The sequence below is a fragment of the Homo sapiens genome, chromosome 11, assembly GCF_000001405.40.
Source record: "Homo sapiens chromosome 11, GRCh38.p14 Primary Assembly".
NCBI lineage: Eukaryota > Metazoa > Chordata > Mammalia > Primates > Hominidae > Homo > Homo sapiens.
The window spans coordinates 31,707,759-31,721,230 of NC_000011.10; the positions used below are offsets into that span (position 1 = coordinate 31,707,759).

General features: G+C 35.3%; 1 protein-coding gene and 1 long non-coding RNA gene across 4 annotated transcripts in view, besides 3 other annotated features; one reads left to right on the plus strand and one right to left on the minus strand.

The window, feature by feature from the left end:
• ELP4 (elongator acetyltransferase complex subunit 4) overlaps positions 1–13,472 on the plus strand; it is a 280,558-nt gene that overhangs the window by 197,992 nt on the left and 69,094 nt on the right. The window lies entirely within an intron of this gene.
• ELP4-AS1 (ELP4 antisense RNA 1) overlaps positions 1–13,472 on the minus strand; it is a 78,869-nt gene that overhangs the window by 18,736 nt on the left and 46,661 nt on the right. The window lies entirely within an intron of this gene.
• Positions 3,175–4,165: an enhancer, noted in NCBI's record as "B3". NCBI's record gives its function as "enhancer in the central portion of the neural retina" and the evidence as "EXISTENCE:transgenic organism evidence [ECO:0001131][PMID:11850181]".
• Positions 3,175–6,107: an enhancer, noted in NCBI's record as "B123". NCBI's record gives its function as "enhancer in the pretectum, neural retina, and olfactory region" and the evidence as "EXISTENCE:transgenic organism evidence [ECO:0001131][PMID:11850181]".
• Positions 4,667–5,635: a conserved region, noted in NCBI's record as "conserved region; B1 PCR fragment; may show DNase I hypersensitivity in mouse (PMID:22220192)". NCBI's record gives the evidence for it as "COORDINATES:sequence similarity evidence [ECO:0000044][PMID:11850181]".

Sequence of the window (13,472 nt, forward strand, 5' to 3'; positions counted from 1 at the left end):
TTACAGGAGAATCCATTTTCCAGTTCTGTAAACTACCAGCATTCCTTGGCTATGGCCTCATCACTCTAACCTCTGCTTCCATCATTACATGGCCTCTCTGACTTTTACCCTTCATCCTCCTTTTATAAGGACTCTTGTGATTATATTGTGCCCAGGGCAATCATTTCCCCATTTCAGGATCCCTAATCACATATGAAAAGTCCTCCTTGCTATGTAAAGTAACATTCACGGATTCCAGGAATTAGGACATGTACATCTTCAAGGATAAGCAGGAGCATTATTACAGCCTACCACTCATTCTTTTATTTTTTAGTTTCAATTTTTTAAAAATATCATCGTTCTCTTCTACCACAGGGCCTTTGCCATTCAGTCTTCTTGGACATGTAACTCTTTACATTTTCCCCCTAACTAAATAATTCCTTTTCAGCTCCCAGAGTAGTATCTCCTACAGGGAAACCTTCTACTTCTCCTCTTTTATATCCTTAAAGCATCATGATGTTCTCAAGCCACAACAAAGCCATCAGAGTTCGATTTCATCTCAGATGGTTTTCATGTAAGCCCATGAAATGTAACCTTGATATTCAGGTTTATATTTCACAATTTTAGCAGTATAGCATCCAAGACATAATTTTTAAAGCCAACTCTCAGTTATCTACAAGTGTATTATACACATTTAAGATTATCTGAATCAAAAATAAGTTTTTATTGACAGTAACACCTCATTCCCTGGCCTAAGGACCTTTTTTTTAAAGGATCTTTTATTTAAATAATATACTTCTGGCCAGATCTGGAGATCAAAAAGTTATCAATGAGTTCCAATAAAAGTGAGAACCAACAAATTTATAAACTGGTGCTTGTTAAGCTCTGATTTCAAGTAGTATCTCAGTATGAATGTCTTAAGAGAAGATGCTGGTTTTACCCAGCAGTAAGAAAGTTGAGCAGTAAATTAAGTCACAGAAGTCAACTAACTTTTAATTTCTTCCTAAGAAAACCATAATAAAAACAATGCTGAAGTATATTCTGAATCAAATATATATATTTTTAAGCTGCTCCTTTGAATTACCTGTTGCCTAAAGTTTCCACTGTTAGTGTAACTAATTGAATAATTATGCAAGGAAAGTTGTTATTGACATCCAAGATTTTGTTTGTAGTAAAAATGTTATTTAATTCCCCAATTTTTCTTTTATATGTAAGATTAAAATTTAGACTTTCATCAGCATTATCCTTTTGGTCTTTAAAATATCTGAAATCTAACTGTAATTCTATGACAGGAGGTCCACGATTAATTGATTTTATTAAATTTTCTACTCTCTAACAACTCTCTGATCTATACATCCTGTCATTGAATATTTTTGGTATTTGAGTCAAAATCATTTGAGTGAAAGAATATAAGTTCAAAATGGGCAATTGCTGGTATGAGGTTTACCCAAAACCAAGGGTCCTGAGTAGGAAAGCATATGCATACGACCTGGTGTCAGTTAGGAACAAATTGATGATACGTCATATTACAAACTATAGATTTGAAATACTTTTAAATAGGATTTTCAATCCAAGGGTCTGTGTTTCCAAGATTAGTCTTCAGGTGCTAGTTAAGTTTATGCTAAAACTGAAAAGCTGCTCCTAAGGAAGTGTAATACTTACCGAATGACCCAAGTTTCACGTATTCAGTTACTCACTATCAGGGAATTGTTAAGTATGTGGAAAGCATTGTTTATTACTCTGTAATGATACCAAGTCTCGTAAAATATGATCCCTCTCCCCAAGAAAGAGTTTATCGTGGTAATTAATATACCACACCTCAGTATCTGCGGACTTGGATTTTAGTCCCAACTCTGCCATTTACTAATTGTCTGACTTAAAGAAAGTATCTTAGTTTGACTCTACGTCCTTATTTCCTTATCTTGAATAAAATAAGATAATAATAAAAATACCTATTTTGTTCTAAGGATTAAATGATAAAATACACATGAATTGCCTAATACAATAACTGGCATATTTTAAATACTCAATGTATGTTAGCCAAAACAATAATTATCATTGTTACTGCAATCTAGCTTGGGAAGTAAGATTTACAATCACAATGTGTCAAATACCAATTTAAGATAATAATAGATTAAATTATTAATTATTACTATGTATTGAGAATGCTGTAGGAAACAAGCCTTCTCTGATCATGCTATTATATACAGTGTACATGTGCACACCCCCTCAGCAAACTGTTTGTTGCCTTCCTTGCACTTATCACAGTCTTTAATTTTTGTTGCTAGTTTCTTATCTGTCTTCCCCACTATATTATAAGCCCTTTTTATAGTGGGGCCATATTTCTCTTATTCATTCTTTGCATCTCCAGCACCTGCTATAGTGCCTGAAAAAGAGTAGACACTCAATAAATATTTGTTGAATACGTGAATTAGACAAGGGGGAAATTACTGTTGGCCAGCATGATCAGAGCAACGTTCTGGAGAAGATACACTTTAAATAGGTCTTGAAAAATGAACAAGATTTGTATGGACAGAAAGAGGCAACAATACATTTTTGAGTTGAGATTGAAGGAAGAATGATGTGTTCATAGATATGAAATAAGGGCCGGGCATGGTGGCTCACGCCTGTAATCCCAACACTTTGGGAGGCCAAGGCAGGCAGATCACTTGAGGCCAGGAGTTCAAGACCAGCCTGGTCAACATGGTGAAACCCTGTCTCCACTAAAAATACAAAAATCAGCCAGGCATTGTGGCACATGCCTGTAGTCCCAGCTATTCTGGAGGCTGAGACAGGAGAATTGCTTGAACCTTGGAGGCAGAGGTTGCAGTGAGTCCAGATCGTGCCACTGCACTCTGGCCTAGGTGACAGACAGAGACCCCATCTGAAAAAAAAAAAAAAAGATATGAAATAACTAAAACACAATAAGTAGACATGAAGAGTAAGAATCATTGAATTTCAGAAGAAAAGAGTTCATTGGCATAAATGGACTTTGGATACCTCTTCAGCATACGGATGAGAAGAATAAGACACAGAGAGCGACATAATCAGTATTACAATCCATATCTTTTCATGTAACTATCCAAGCATTTAAATACTATATCATGTAAGTAATAGAGCTTACAATATAATAGGGGAGACTAGAACCCGTGACTTTAGGCTGTTGGTTCCATGAAGTAAGAAATAGATGGGGAGGTAACTATGAGCACGGAGTCTAATTAGGAAACAATTGTGACAGTCCAAATCAAAAATGATTAGGGAAACAAGATATAAAGCAAGAGGAATCTTGTATTATAGTTCACTATGCTCTTTTAGATTGGATATGAATATTTATGGTTACAGTAAATATGAGACTCTGTTACACTCTAACTGAAAGTCTTTTATATTACGCTTGGATGATACATAAATGTAAAAAACAAAGTGTACTTTATTTTTAGAGATTCTTTATGAAAATGCAAACAGGTTCCATAAAACCTAGAGGTAATCAAAAACTTATCTGGGACACTTTTGAAAATGAAGACACTGTGTGTACCATGTGGTAGTGTTAAGTGCCCTTATAACAAATCATTCACAGAAGAGCCATAGACAAATAAACGTTTCAAAAGTGGTCTGACGGCTTCTGACAGCAGTATAAAGCCATCTTTCAGAGCCAGTAATTCAGTCAGACCCATCTGAATCATTTCCTCTATAAATTGTCTTTAGTAGAAATACAAGAAAAAGCACCAGTGAACTAATAATTATCTCCTCTTTGTCATCAGAGTGGCCTAGGTTAAGAAAATGCCACCTTAAAACTAATTTAATCTTTTAAAATTTACCTGAAATTATTCTGTTATATTTTTGGTAAAATATAGCACATTCGAATATTATATATTTTTCTTTTATGTGTATAGATTTAGAAAGCTTATGATGATAAAGATAAATATGTACCTCTGCATTATTTTAGACTACAATTTTCAAATATTTTGACCAAACTAACCAAATTAGTCATTTATTTAATAAACTATTAATAGTAGTAGGTACAGCCTTAGTCTTTTTATTATTTTCCTTCCTTTCACTTTATTTAAAAAAATTACCTAATGAATTAAATCATAAACCTGCAAATTATCAACTGGCCCATACTACAATGCCATATTAATGATGCAGCTGATGAAAATAAGTATCAATAACCTAAAGATGCATAGTGCTAGAGACAAAGGTGGCATTTTACATTTTTATTAACACTTGTAATTTTCTTCTGCTTGATTTCTTTTAGGCCAAGCCCAATTTCTTCTAAACCATGGGTCAGTGAGCTCATGTTGATTCTCATATGAATGATGGGCTTGATTTTGCAAAGCTATCACCAACTACCAATACCTAGGTCTAGTTACCATCATTATGAACAACCTAGAATATAACATTACAAATTAGAATGCATTATTTCCTTTAATTTCACTAACTATGGCAATACTAGACACCAACAGAATTGTGTACGTTTGTGAAGCATTATATTTTTAAATGTTATTAGTGTGGAAGTAATGAAATCACATAAAATTCAATGATAATACTCTGTTTTAAGCATATGTTATCTTTCCTTGTTAAATATCATTGAAATAAAAAAGAACCTGTGTGAACTTAAATATTCTTAATAAGGCAAAGTTTTGTATTTAGTAAATGATCTCTTGTAACCAGAGGTAAGTTTGAGAGCAACCAGGTTTCACCAGGTAATACATATCTGCAATAGTAGCTTTTCTACATCCCCCAAAATGAAAACAATATTATATTAATAAATCCTAAGAGGCTTCTATTAGCTTGATAAATAAGTACATTTAAAATACAAGGTAAAAAGGATTTGTTTAAATACTTTAAATGTCTTTATCATACTATTCTAGTGATGTCAAATACAATTTTCATTTTTAAGAGATTTTGGTTAGAATTTAATCTTTGAAAATATTAATAACAGCTTACAGCAGGTAAGCTATAAAATAGCACTGGATGCTGTCTATTTAGTTTCTGGTTGAAAAAGCACAGCAGTACTTTAGTTCATTACCTTTGAAAAAAACAGTAACAAGATAATACAGCTGCCTCTGATTAAGATGTAAATTCTTTCTAATTAGAATGTAAATTCTTACATTTAAATGAAGACATCAATTGTCAGGATGCCATATGATATCTTATTCCACCTTGCCTGAATGAAGCCCTCACTGCTCATCTATGCCACTAAAATAGTTTTGCAATCCCTTTGTTCTCTGATTCTTGTAATATTCTCTCTTCATGTTCCCTTTTCACATTGCTTTTGTTTGTTTTCCCCCTTGCATCTGATATTGTTGTGCCTTGGGATTTTGCGGAAATTTGGACTGAAAATTGAGTTCAGTCAGTGCCAGTATTTGCTTGTGCCTCAATTACTTCTGCTGAATTTTCCTCAATGCAAATCAGGCAGGTTGCATAAAGTGGTGCATGTATTTGAAATAATCAATTTTCCGTAAAATGATGGATCAAGTCCAATCAACCTTCATGAAATCTAAATAATAGAATAGAGAATTAGAAATTAATTAACATTTTGTGTTGTTAATACTTTATGGTATAATCTAGCAATGGTAAGTTTTACTGTTGATTCTAACTTTTCCTTTATCAAATGTTGATGAAAACCTTCTGCCTCAATCATTTCTTGCCAGAAATATGCTAACAAGGAATTCTGTATCAATAACATTGAAGCAAATATTTCAAAGTATAATGATTATACAAACAATTGACCAGTAAGTTAAATTATTTGTGCTTCTCTTTACTGAGCAATGGTAAAAGTTTTATCTTGCATAATATACTCTAATTTATAGAAATCTACTATTAATGTTGGATAAGGCCATGACCCTTTGAGCATCATATTATTATATATTTATGCCATGTTTCCTCAACCAAAAGAGCTGTAACTTTAGAGGTAAACTCAATTCCACCAACCTTACAGTGTTAGGCAAGGAGAAACCTAGACACTGAAAGAAAGCTTTACAGATGGAAGAGTATCTACCCAAGTTAGTTGTATTTATTTTTAACTATTATAGAAAATTTCAAACATACACAAAAGTAGAGAATAATATAATAAACCCCTGTGGACCTATCAACCTTCTTCTCTCCTCAAGGGGAGGTAACAGGGAAACTAAACATACAAACCTGCAATATAATGATTGGAATGCAAATAACAAACAATAATGTGCAATAGAAGCTAAAATGTAGTTAGAGAATAGGAATGCTATATAAGTGCTTAGAGAAGGACAGTTTGTGCTGAATGGACAGAGAAGAGAAAGAATGCCAAGTAGAGTAGAAATATTATAAGAGATTTAGGGGTGACCAGTGTCTGTGATGGTATAGAAAAGACCAGCACTGTATGATTAATCATAAGTTTCATTTTGGATGTAAAACTGCTTAAGTCTGGTAAGATGTAGGGATTTCAGAGCCAGGCAATACATTTTAGTAACAGTTAGCCAAGGTAGTATTTTAGGCATGATAATAATAGAATGAAAAATACCTTCTTTTTGTCCAAACAAAAATCTCTTGTTGTAATTAAATTATTTCCTTAGAATTTTTTTATCATGTTCACAAACAGAAGGACATTCTAGTGACTAAAATATAAATTGTAAAGAAAAATTTTTTATTTCTAACCCACCTAGTTAAAAGTAAATGTTAGTAATGACTCTGCAGTGATGTTTACTATATTTCATTTTACTTCTTCCAGTACAATCAAGAGAAATATCACTGTTGACTCATATTGTTACTTAACAGTTGTTTAAAACCATATTTGTTTTTACACAATTCCAAATTTGTGGAATTTACATGCTGTACCAGTTTTCTATTGCTGCTATGAAAAATTGCTATAATTTTAGTGGGTTGAACAATACAAATTTATTTTCCTACGGTTCTGGCAGGCAGAGGTCCAAAAAGGGGTCAGCACAGCTACGTTCCTCCTGGATGGTCCAAGGAAGAAGCTATTTCCTTGCCTTTTCCAGCTTCTAGAGGTTGCCTGCATTCCTTGGCTCATGGCTTCTTCCTCCGTTTTCAAAGCGAGCAACATTGGGTTTGAGTCCTTATGTTACCAACTCTCTGGTTTTTTTTCTGCCTCTCTCCTTCACTTTTAAGGATCCTTGTAATTACATTGGACCCACTTAAATAAACCAAGATCTTCCTATTTTAAGGTCGACCAATCAGCAACCTTAATTCAATCTTTCACCTTAATTCCTCTTTGCCATGTAAGGTAACACATTACAGGTTCCAAAGACTGTGGTATGGACATTTTTTGAGGACTGTTATTCTGCCTACCACACATTTCTTTCATTTTTACTCATCAGTAACCACTATGATAGTTCATAGAGACGGAAGAACCACTTCGTTGGCTCAGATGGCAACTCTTTCTCAGATTTAAAATAAACTAATATTTCTCATTTTAGCTGAATTTGAGAAAAAGAAGAGAAATTAGACTAAATGCTGTAAATTAAAATTGTACAACCAAATGTAATCAGTTTTATAAAAAATGCTTAATAAAATTAGTCTTTGTGGACATGGCCAAAAAAACTGTATTTCAAAGAAGGGAATAAGAAGCCAGAATTAGTTGATTACTTTCTATGTGGCGGACACTATAATAAATATATTAAGATATTATTACCTTTTAATATTTAAACACTCCTATTATTAGCTGTATTTTCCTTTTAAAGATAAGAAGCTGAAGATGGAAAAATGTAGGTAGCTTCCCAAAAGACATGCACACAGTTACTGAGAGATTCCAATGTGTTCATGTTACAGCACGCTAAATTGTGTGAAATGTCAGTTGTATCAATCAAGAAACAATTTCTAAATATTAAGATCAGGCATTCAAAGTATTGTGGAACCAACAAGCAAGTATGAGACATAATCCCTGCCTTCAAGGAATTTGTAATCTAGTTGTAGAAATAAGGCTAAACACATAGCATAAGTGTTTTAAAGCATGAATTCTGGTGTCAGACAGCTTTAGGTTAGAATCCTTGCTCTTTTACTGCTTAATCTTTTGCTACTTATATGTGAGCCTAGGTTTCCTTTCCTGCCTCATTGGGTTGTTACAAAGAGTAACTATACATTAAGTCACTTAGCCTAGGATCTGACACAGAGCAAGCACTCAATAGACGGTAACTGCTTTACTAAAATAAAATTCAAACAGTACAAGGGCTGAGTTAATGATTACACAGTTAAGGGATATAGGAGTTTAGCAGAAGAAGAGCTAACTGTCAAACCAGTGATTTCATGTAATGTTAGAGATATGTATTAGTACAAGGAGGTTTGTTTGTTTGTTTGTTTTTGAGACAGGGCCTCGCTGTGTCACCCAGGCTAGAGTGCAGTGGCATGATCGTAGCTCACTGCAGCCTCAAATTCCTGGGTTGTAAACCATCCTCCTGCCTCAGCCTCCCGAGTAGCTAGGACTACGGGCACACACCACCACATCCAGCTAATTTATTTATTTGGTAGAGACAAGATTTTGTTATGTTGCCCAGGATGGTGTCAAACTCCTAGCCTCAAACCATTCCCCTGTCTCAGCCTCCCAAAGTGCCGGGATTGCAGGCACAAGCCACCGTGCTCTGCCTAGTTCTTTATTTATGAGGATAATGAGTAGCAGTATAGTGTAGTGGTTAAGTGCACTGGCTCTGGAAAAGAATATCTGCTTTTACATTCTGTCTCTTTACTAATTTGTCTATGCCTCAGTTTTCTCATTTGTAAAATGGGGATAAATATAGTTTCTATATCATGGGGCTGATAAGATTAATATGCAAAGTGCTTAGAAGAGTATCTGGCACATAAATGCCATATAAGTGTTATTATTAATATCAAGGAATACTGTGTGTAGCCCATCAGTGATCCATTGTAGTTGACAGTGATAGTAAGAAATAATACATGTAGTTTCAGTTTCCCATTGCAATATAGATGATTTACGTAGCTGGACAACCTTACCAATAGGATAAGCATTATACAAAGATATATCAAGTACCTGCAATGTACCTAGCAGTATGCTTTGGATGATACAAAATAACAAACATTCTCAATTTCTATAAACCTCCCTGTCTAGATGAGAAGACAAAACTGATAGTGAATGAAATAGAGATTAATTAAGTGCTAAAATTAAGGTAAATTGATGCCAAGTGCAGTAAGAATTCAGAGAAAAGAGAAATCTTTATGGATCATATTATACATTACTAGAAAAAGTAGGACTTGAACTAGGACTAGAATAATGGATGAGATTCTATTGACCAGTGAGAAGATAATGAACAGTTCTAAATATAAGAAATTGCTCAAACCAGGAGTCTCATGCATCTTTTATTCTAAACTTTCCCCCCAACTTGTTAATTTGGCAGCAGGAAAAAAAAATGAATGAGATGGCCACAAATGCCGTAAACCTGAGGAATCATAGATAAATGAAGGAATTGAAGGGATTTAAGAACAAGGAGTCTGTGGATAGAATTTGGGAGTTCCAGGAACTTGGATTGAAAAGAAATGTACATGTTTATTTTTACTAGCCTCCCACTGAAACGTAGCATTTTCTTAGTTATAAATATAGGCAACAAACCGCAGTCACATTAGCAGTAACTGTGACTGTCGTCAACAGAAATCATAGACTTTTTCATGCATTTATTGCTGTCTCAAAGTATTACTTACCTCATTTGTAATATATTAGTATCAGGCCCATGGCTATTCTTGTTATTCAATGGTTAATAAAAATGTGCAGATAGATGGTTATATAAAAATTTATGGCCAGGCACAATGGCTCACGCCTGTAATCCCAGCACTTTGGGAGGCTGAAGTGGGCGGATCACAAGGTCAGGAGTTCAGGACCAGCCTGACCAATACAGTAAAACCTCATCTCTACTAAAAATACAAAAATTAGCTGGGTGTGGTGGCACACGCCTGTAGTCTCAGCTACTCGGGAGGCTGAGGCAAAAGAATCGCTTGAACCCAGGAGGCGGTGGTTGCAATGAGCCGAGATTGCGCCACTGCACTCCAACCTGGGAGACAGAGTGACACTGTGTCTCAAAAAAAAAAAAAAGAATTTATTATTTGATAACATTTCAGTGAAGTTTATTTCCTTTGTAATTTAGTGTATTTTATTTTATACATTTAAAATCATTATAGTGAAAAAATGACATCATCATAGTGCTTCTGTTTATGGACCTGGGAATATATTAGTTTTTTGATAACCGCATCCATAGTTGACTCATATTGAGTTTACAATCAACTACACCCCACCCTTTCTTTAATGGACCCGGGGTCTCACTATGTTGCACAGGCTGGTCTCAAACTCCTCAACTCAAGAGATCCACCTGCCTCAGCCTCCCAAAGTGCTGGGATTACAGACCTGAGCCACTGAGCCCAGCTCCTAAAACTCTCTTTTCATATGTGCTACTTTAGGCTATGTTTATTTCTGAATATAGGCAAATAGCATTACAATCAAACCAGTAGCTAGAACTCACAAACATGAAATTCTTAGAGCAGTACTTTATAAAATTTCTGCCTACCTAAATGTAGACCTTAATATTAACCATCTGAGGTGATATCTTGCAAGATATTTTCTATATGCAGATATACCTGCCCAAGAAAAATTATATTTCTTTTTAAAACAGTGGTGCTTTCTGGTTTGCTTTGCAGAATGAGGAGTAAAAAAGGGCTATTCTGGTGATTATTGCTGTGTATTAAACTACCGCAAAACATAGTTATGGAAAACACTCATTACATTCAAGGCTTTTGTGGGTCAGGAACTTGTATAGGGAACAGCAGGCATGCTTGTTGGATGCACTATTCCATGGTACCTAGGTACTCAGTTGGAAAAATTTGATGGCTACAGTTTGGAATCAACTAGGAGTGTCTTCACTGACCTATGTAATGGTTGATGCTGACTGTCCACTGGGACCTCAACTGGAGCTGTCTTCCGGAGCACCTGTGTGTAGCCTTTGCATGTGACCTGGACTTCCTCACACATGGTGGTCACTTCTTACATGATGGTCAAACTGCTTAGATGGCAGCTTAGGCTCCAAAAGCTAGTGTCATAGTAAACAAGATGCATTGCCTTTAATGACTCATCTCAAAACTGACAAAGCTATCACATCTGCCGTACTTTATGGATTAGAACAATAACAAGTTCACTCAGATTCAAGGGGAGAAAAATTAAGCCCTGACACTTAATTGTGGAGGAGCAAGGTCACAGTGTACAAGAGTATATGCAATGGGTGATGCTGTACAGTTATATTTGGAAAGTACAGCCTGGGCACAGTGGCTCACACCTGTAATCCTAGTACTTTGGGAGAGCAAGGTGGGAGGATCACTTGAGCCCAGGAGTTTGAGACCAGCCTGGGCAACATATTGGGACCTCGTCTCTACGCATAATTTAAAAATTAGCCAGGTGTGGTGGTGTGTGCCTGTGGTCTCAGCTACTCTGAGAGGCTGAGGGGAGGATCTCTTGAGCCCGAGAGGTTGAGACTGCAGTGAGGCATGTTGCACCACTGCAATACTCCAGCCTGGGTGACAGAGCAAGACCCTGAAAAAGAAAAAAAAAAAAGAAAGAAAAGAAAATCTGTACCTGTAAATAGGCATAAAACTGTGGTAGTTTGAAGTATGTGGATGCATGGCATACAGTGGCAGAGTTTTTGTGGAATGGTTATAGATGAAACATCATTTGTCTTAATGGCTCAGATTTGAAGTTGAGGTTTATAATTATGTTTTTATAATTCTAATAATGAAATTTCTCATTTTATTAGGATTGGAGGAAGAGTCTGTGGTCTTTTCCAAACTTGAAGATTTGATTTTTTCCAAAACTTGTAGCTTTGTGTTTATCAGCAGATCTGAAAGCCACAAGTATTATCTGATACATACAATAATGACAGAAGAAAAAAATGTTCTATGTTTTCTTCACTAAAAGTTTTTATGTAAAAAAGAAATATAGGGCGAATTATACAGCATAAGAATTATATCTCATTAAACCTATTTTTTAAAAACAACCATAAACAAATACTGACTTTTCGCTAATGATATGCATGCTGGAGTGGTTAGGGGTAAAATATACTGATGTCTGCAACTTTCTTTGAAATTCACCACAAATTAGAGAGACTGGTGAATGTGGATAGATCTTTAGAGAGGTGAAAAAGCAAGTGTAGAGAACGGTTACTTGTACAACCTAAGTGATGTGTAAATGCATATTCTCTTATATCTGAAATTTTTCACAATAAAATATTGGGAACAATCATAATGAGACACCACTACATAATCACTGGAATGGCCTTTTGTAAAAAAGCTTTGTTTTTTTTCAAGTGTTTTTTGTGTTAAAAGCTCTGACATAGTTTTGGTGAAGTGAAGTTATATTGACTACTTCATCATCTATTTTTATTCAAGCAGAAGGGAAGAGTTAGGCACAGATTCTCACCACAGTTCTGTGACTGCAGAAACCTTTAAGATAAATAATTGTAATTAACACAGCCTTGGCACTGGCAAAACAAAAACTCGGAACTTAATATGTAAACAATATGATCTCCATTTCAAATGCTGTTTGTCCTCCTAAAATCTTACACCTCTTTTTTCTTTCTAGGCAATTACTTTTTTTTTACTTTCCTTTGACCTCGACAATATGTTCCCTGTTTACATTATTCATGGAATCATGAAGGGTCACTATTGTCTGCCCAGTCCCAAGATAGTTTGGCACTTTTTCAAATTGTTTTGCTTGAATTGTAGTGAAGTGGTAACCCGCTGATGCAGGCATGCACTTCAGCACCCTTGTGCTATAGTAAGGCCAAAAAAAAAATAGATTAAAGGAATTAAAGTCTCTTTCAGTGCTTAGCAAAGGAGTAGTTGGTAAGGCATAGTAAAACTTTACAACTTTTTAAGTTTTCTGATAGAATTTGAACTCACTGAAACTTACACGTTAACTGAGAGGAGTACTAAGTAATCAATTGAGGTTATTCCAACCAAACATTTAAAATATCCTTATTAAGTGTCCACCAGTGAGTGGTACTAAGTGTGACATACTGTGCACAATCCTTGCTCTCAAGAAACATGAACAGCATAGCTAGGAAGAAAAGTTGGAGAGGACACCAGGGCATAAGCAGATTCGCACTGCAAGATAAAGCAAAAAGAAGATAAGTGCCAAGTACCAGATGGAATGAAATCATGTTCCTTTTGCTCTCTTGCCCAGCCTAAGAAGACAGGCCAGGGGAGTTTGTGATCATGGTACAGAAATGGAGGCTATTGCTCAATTTGCTCACTCTGCCCCATCGGTCAAAATTGCTATTCAAAATGTGCCTTACTCCCTATTTTGTATTTAGAGTCTTGGATTCTTATTTGAAACTTGGCAGCTTTGGAAGCTGTCTTATATTTTGTTCTGCTTTAAGACTTTCACTGCCAAGTACATATTCAGGCTTTGTTTGCCAGTTTTTTTGATTGTGTGGTTGAATGCCATCCCTGGAAAGATGTACTTTTGAGCTAGTATGAAGTCAATGAGCTGCCTTCAGCATTCATGAAGAGGT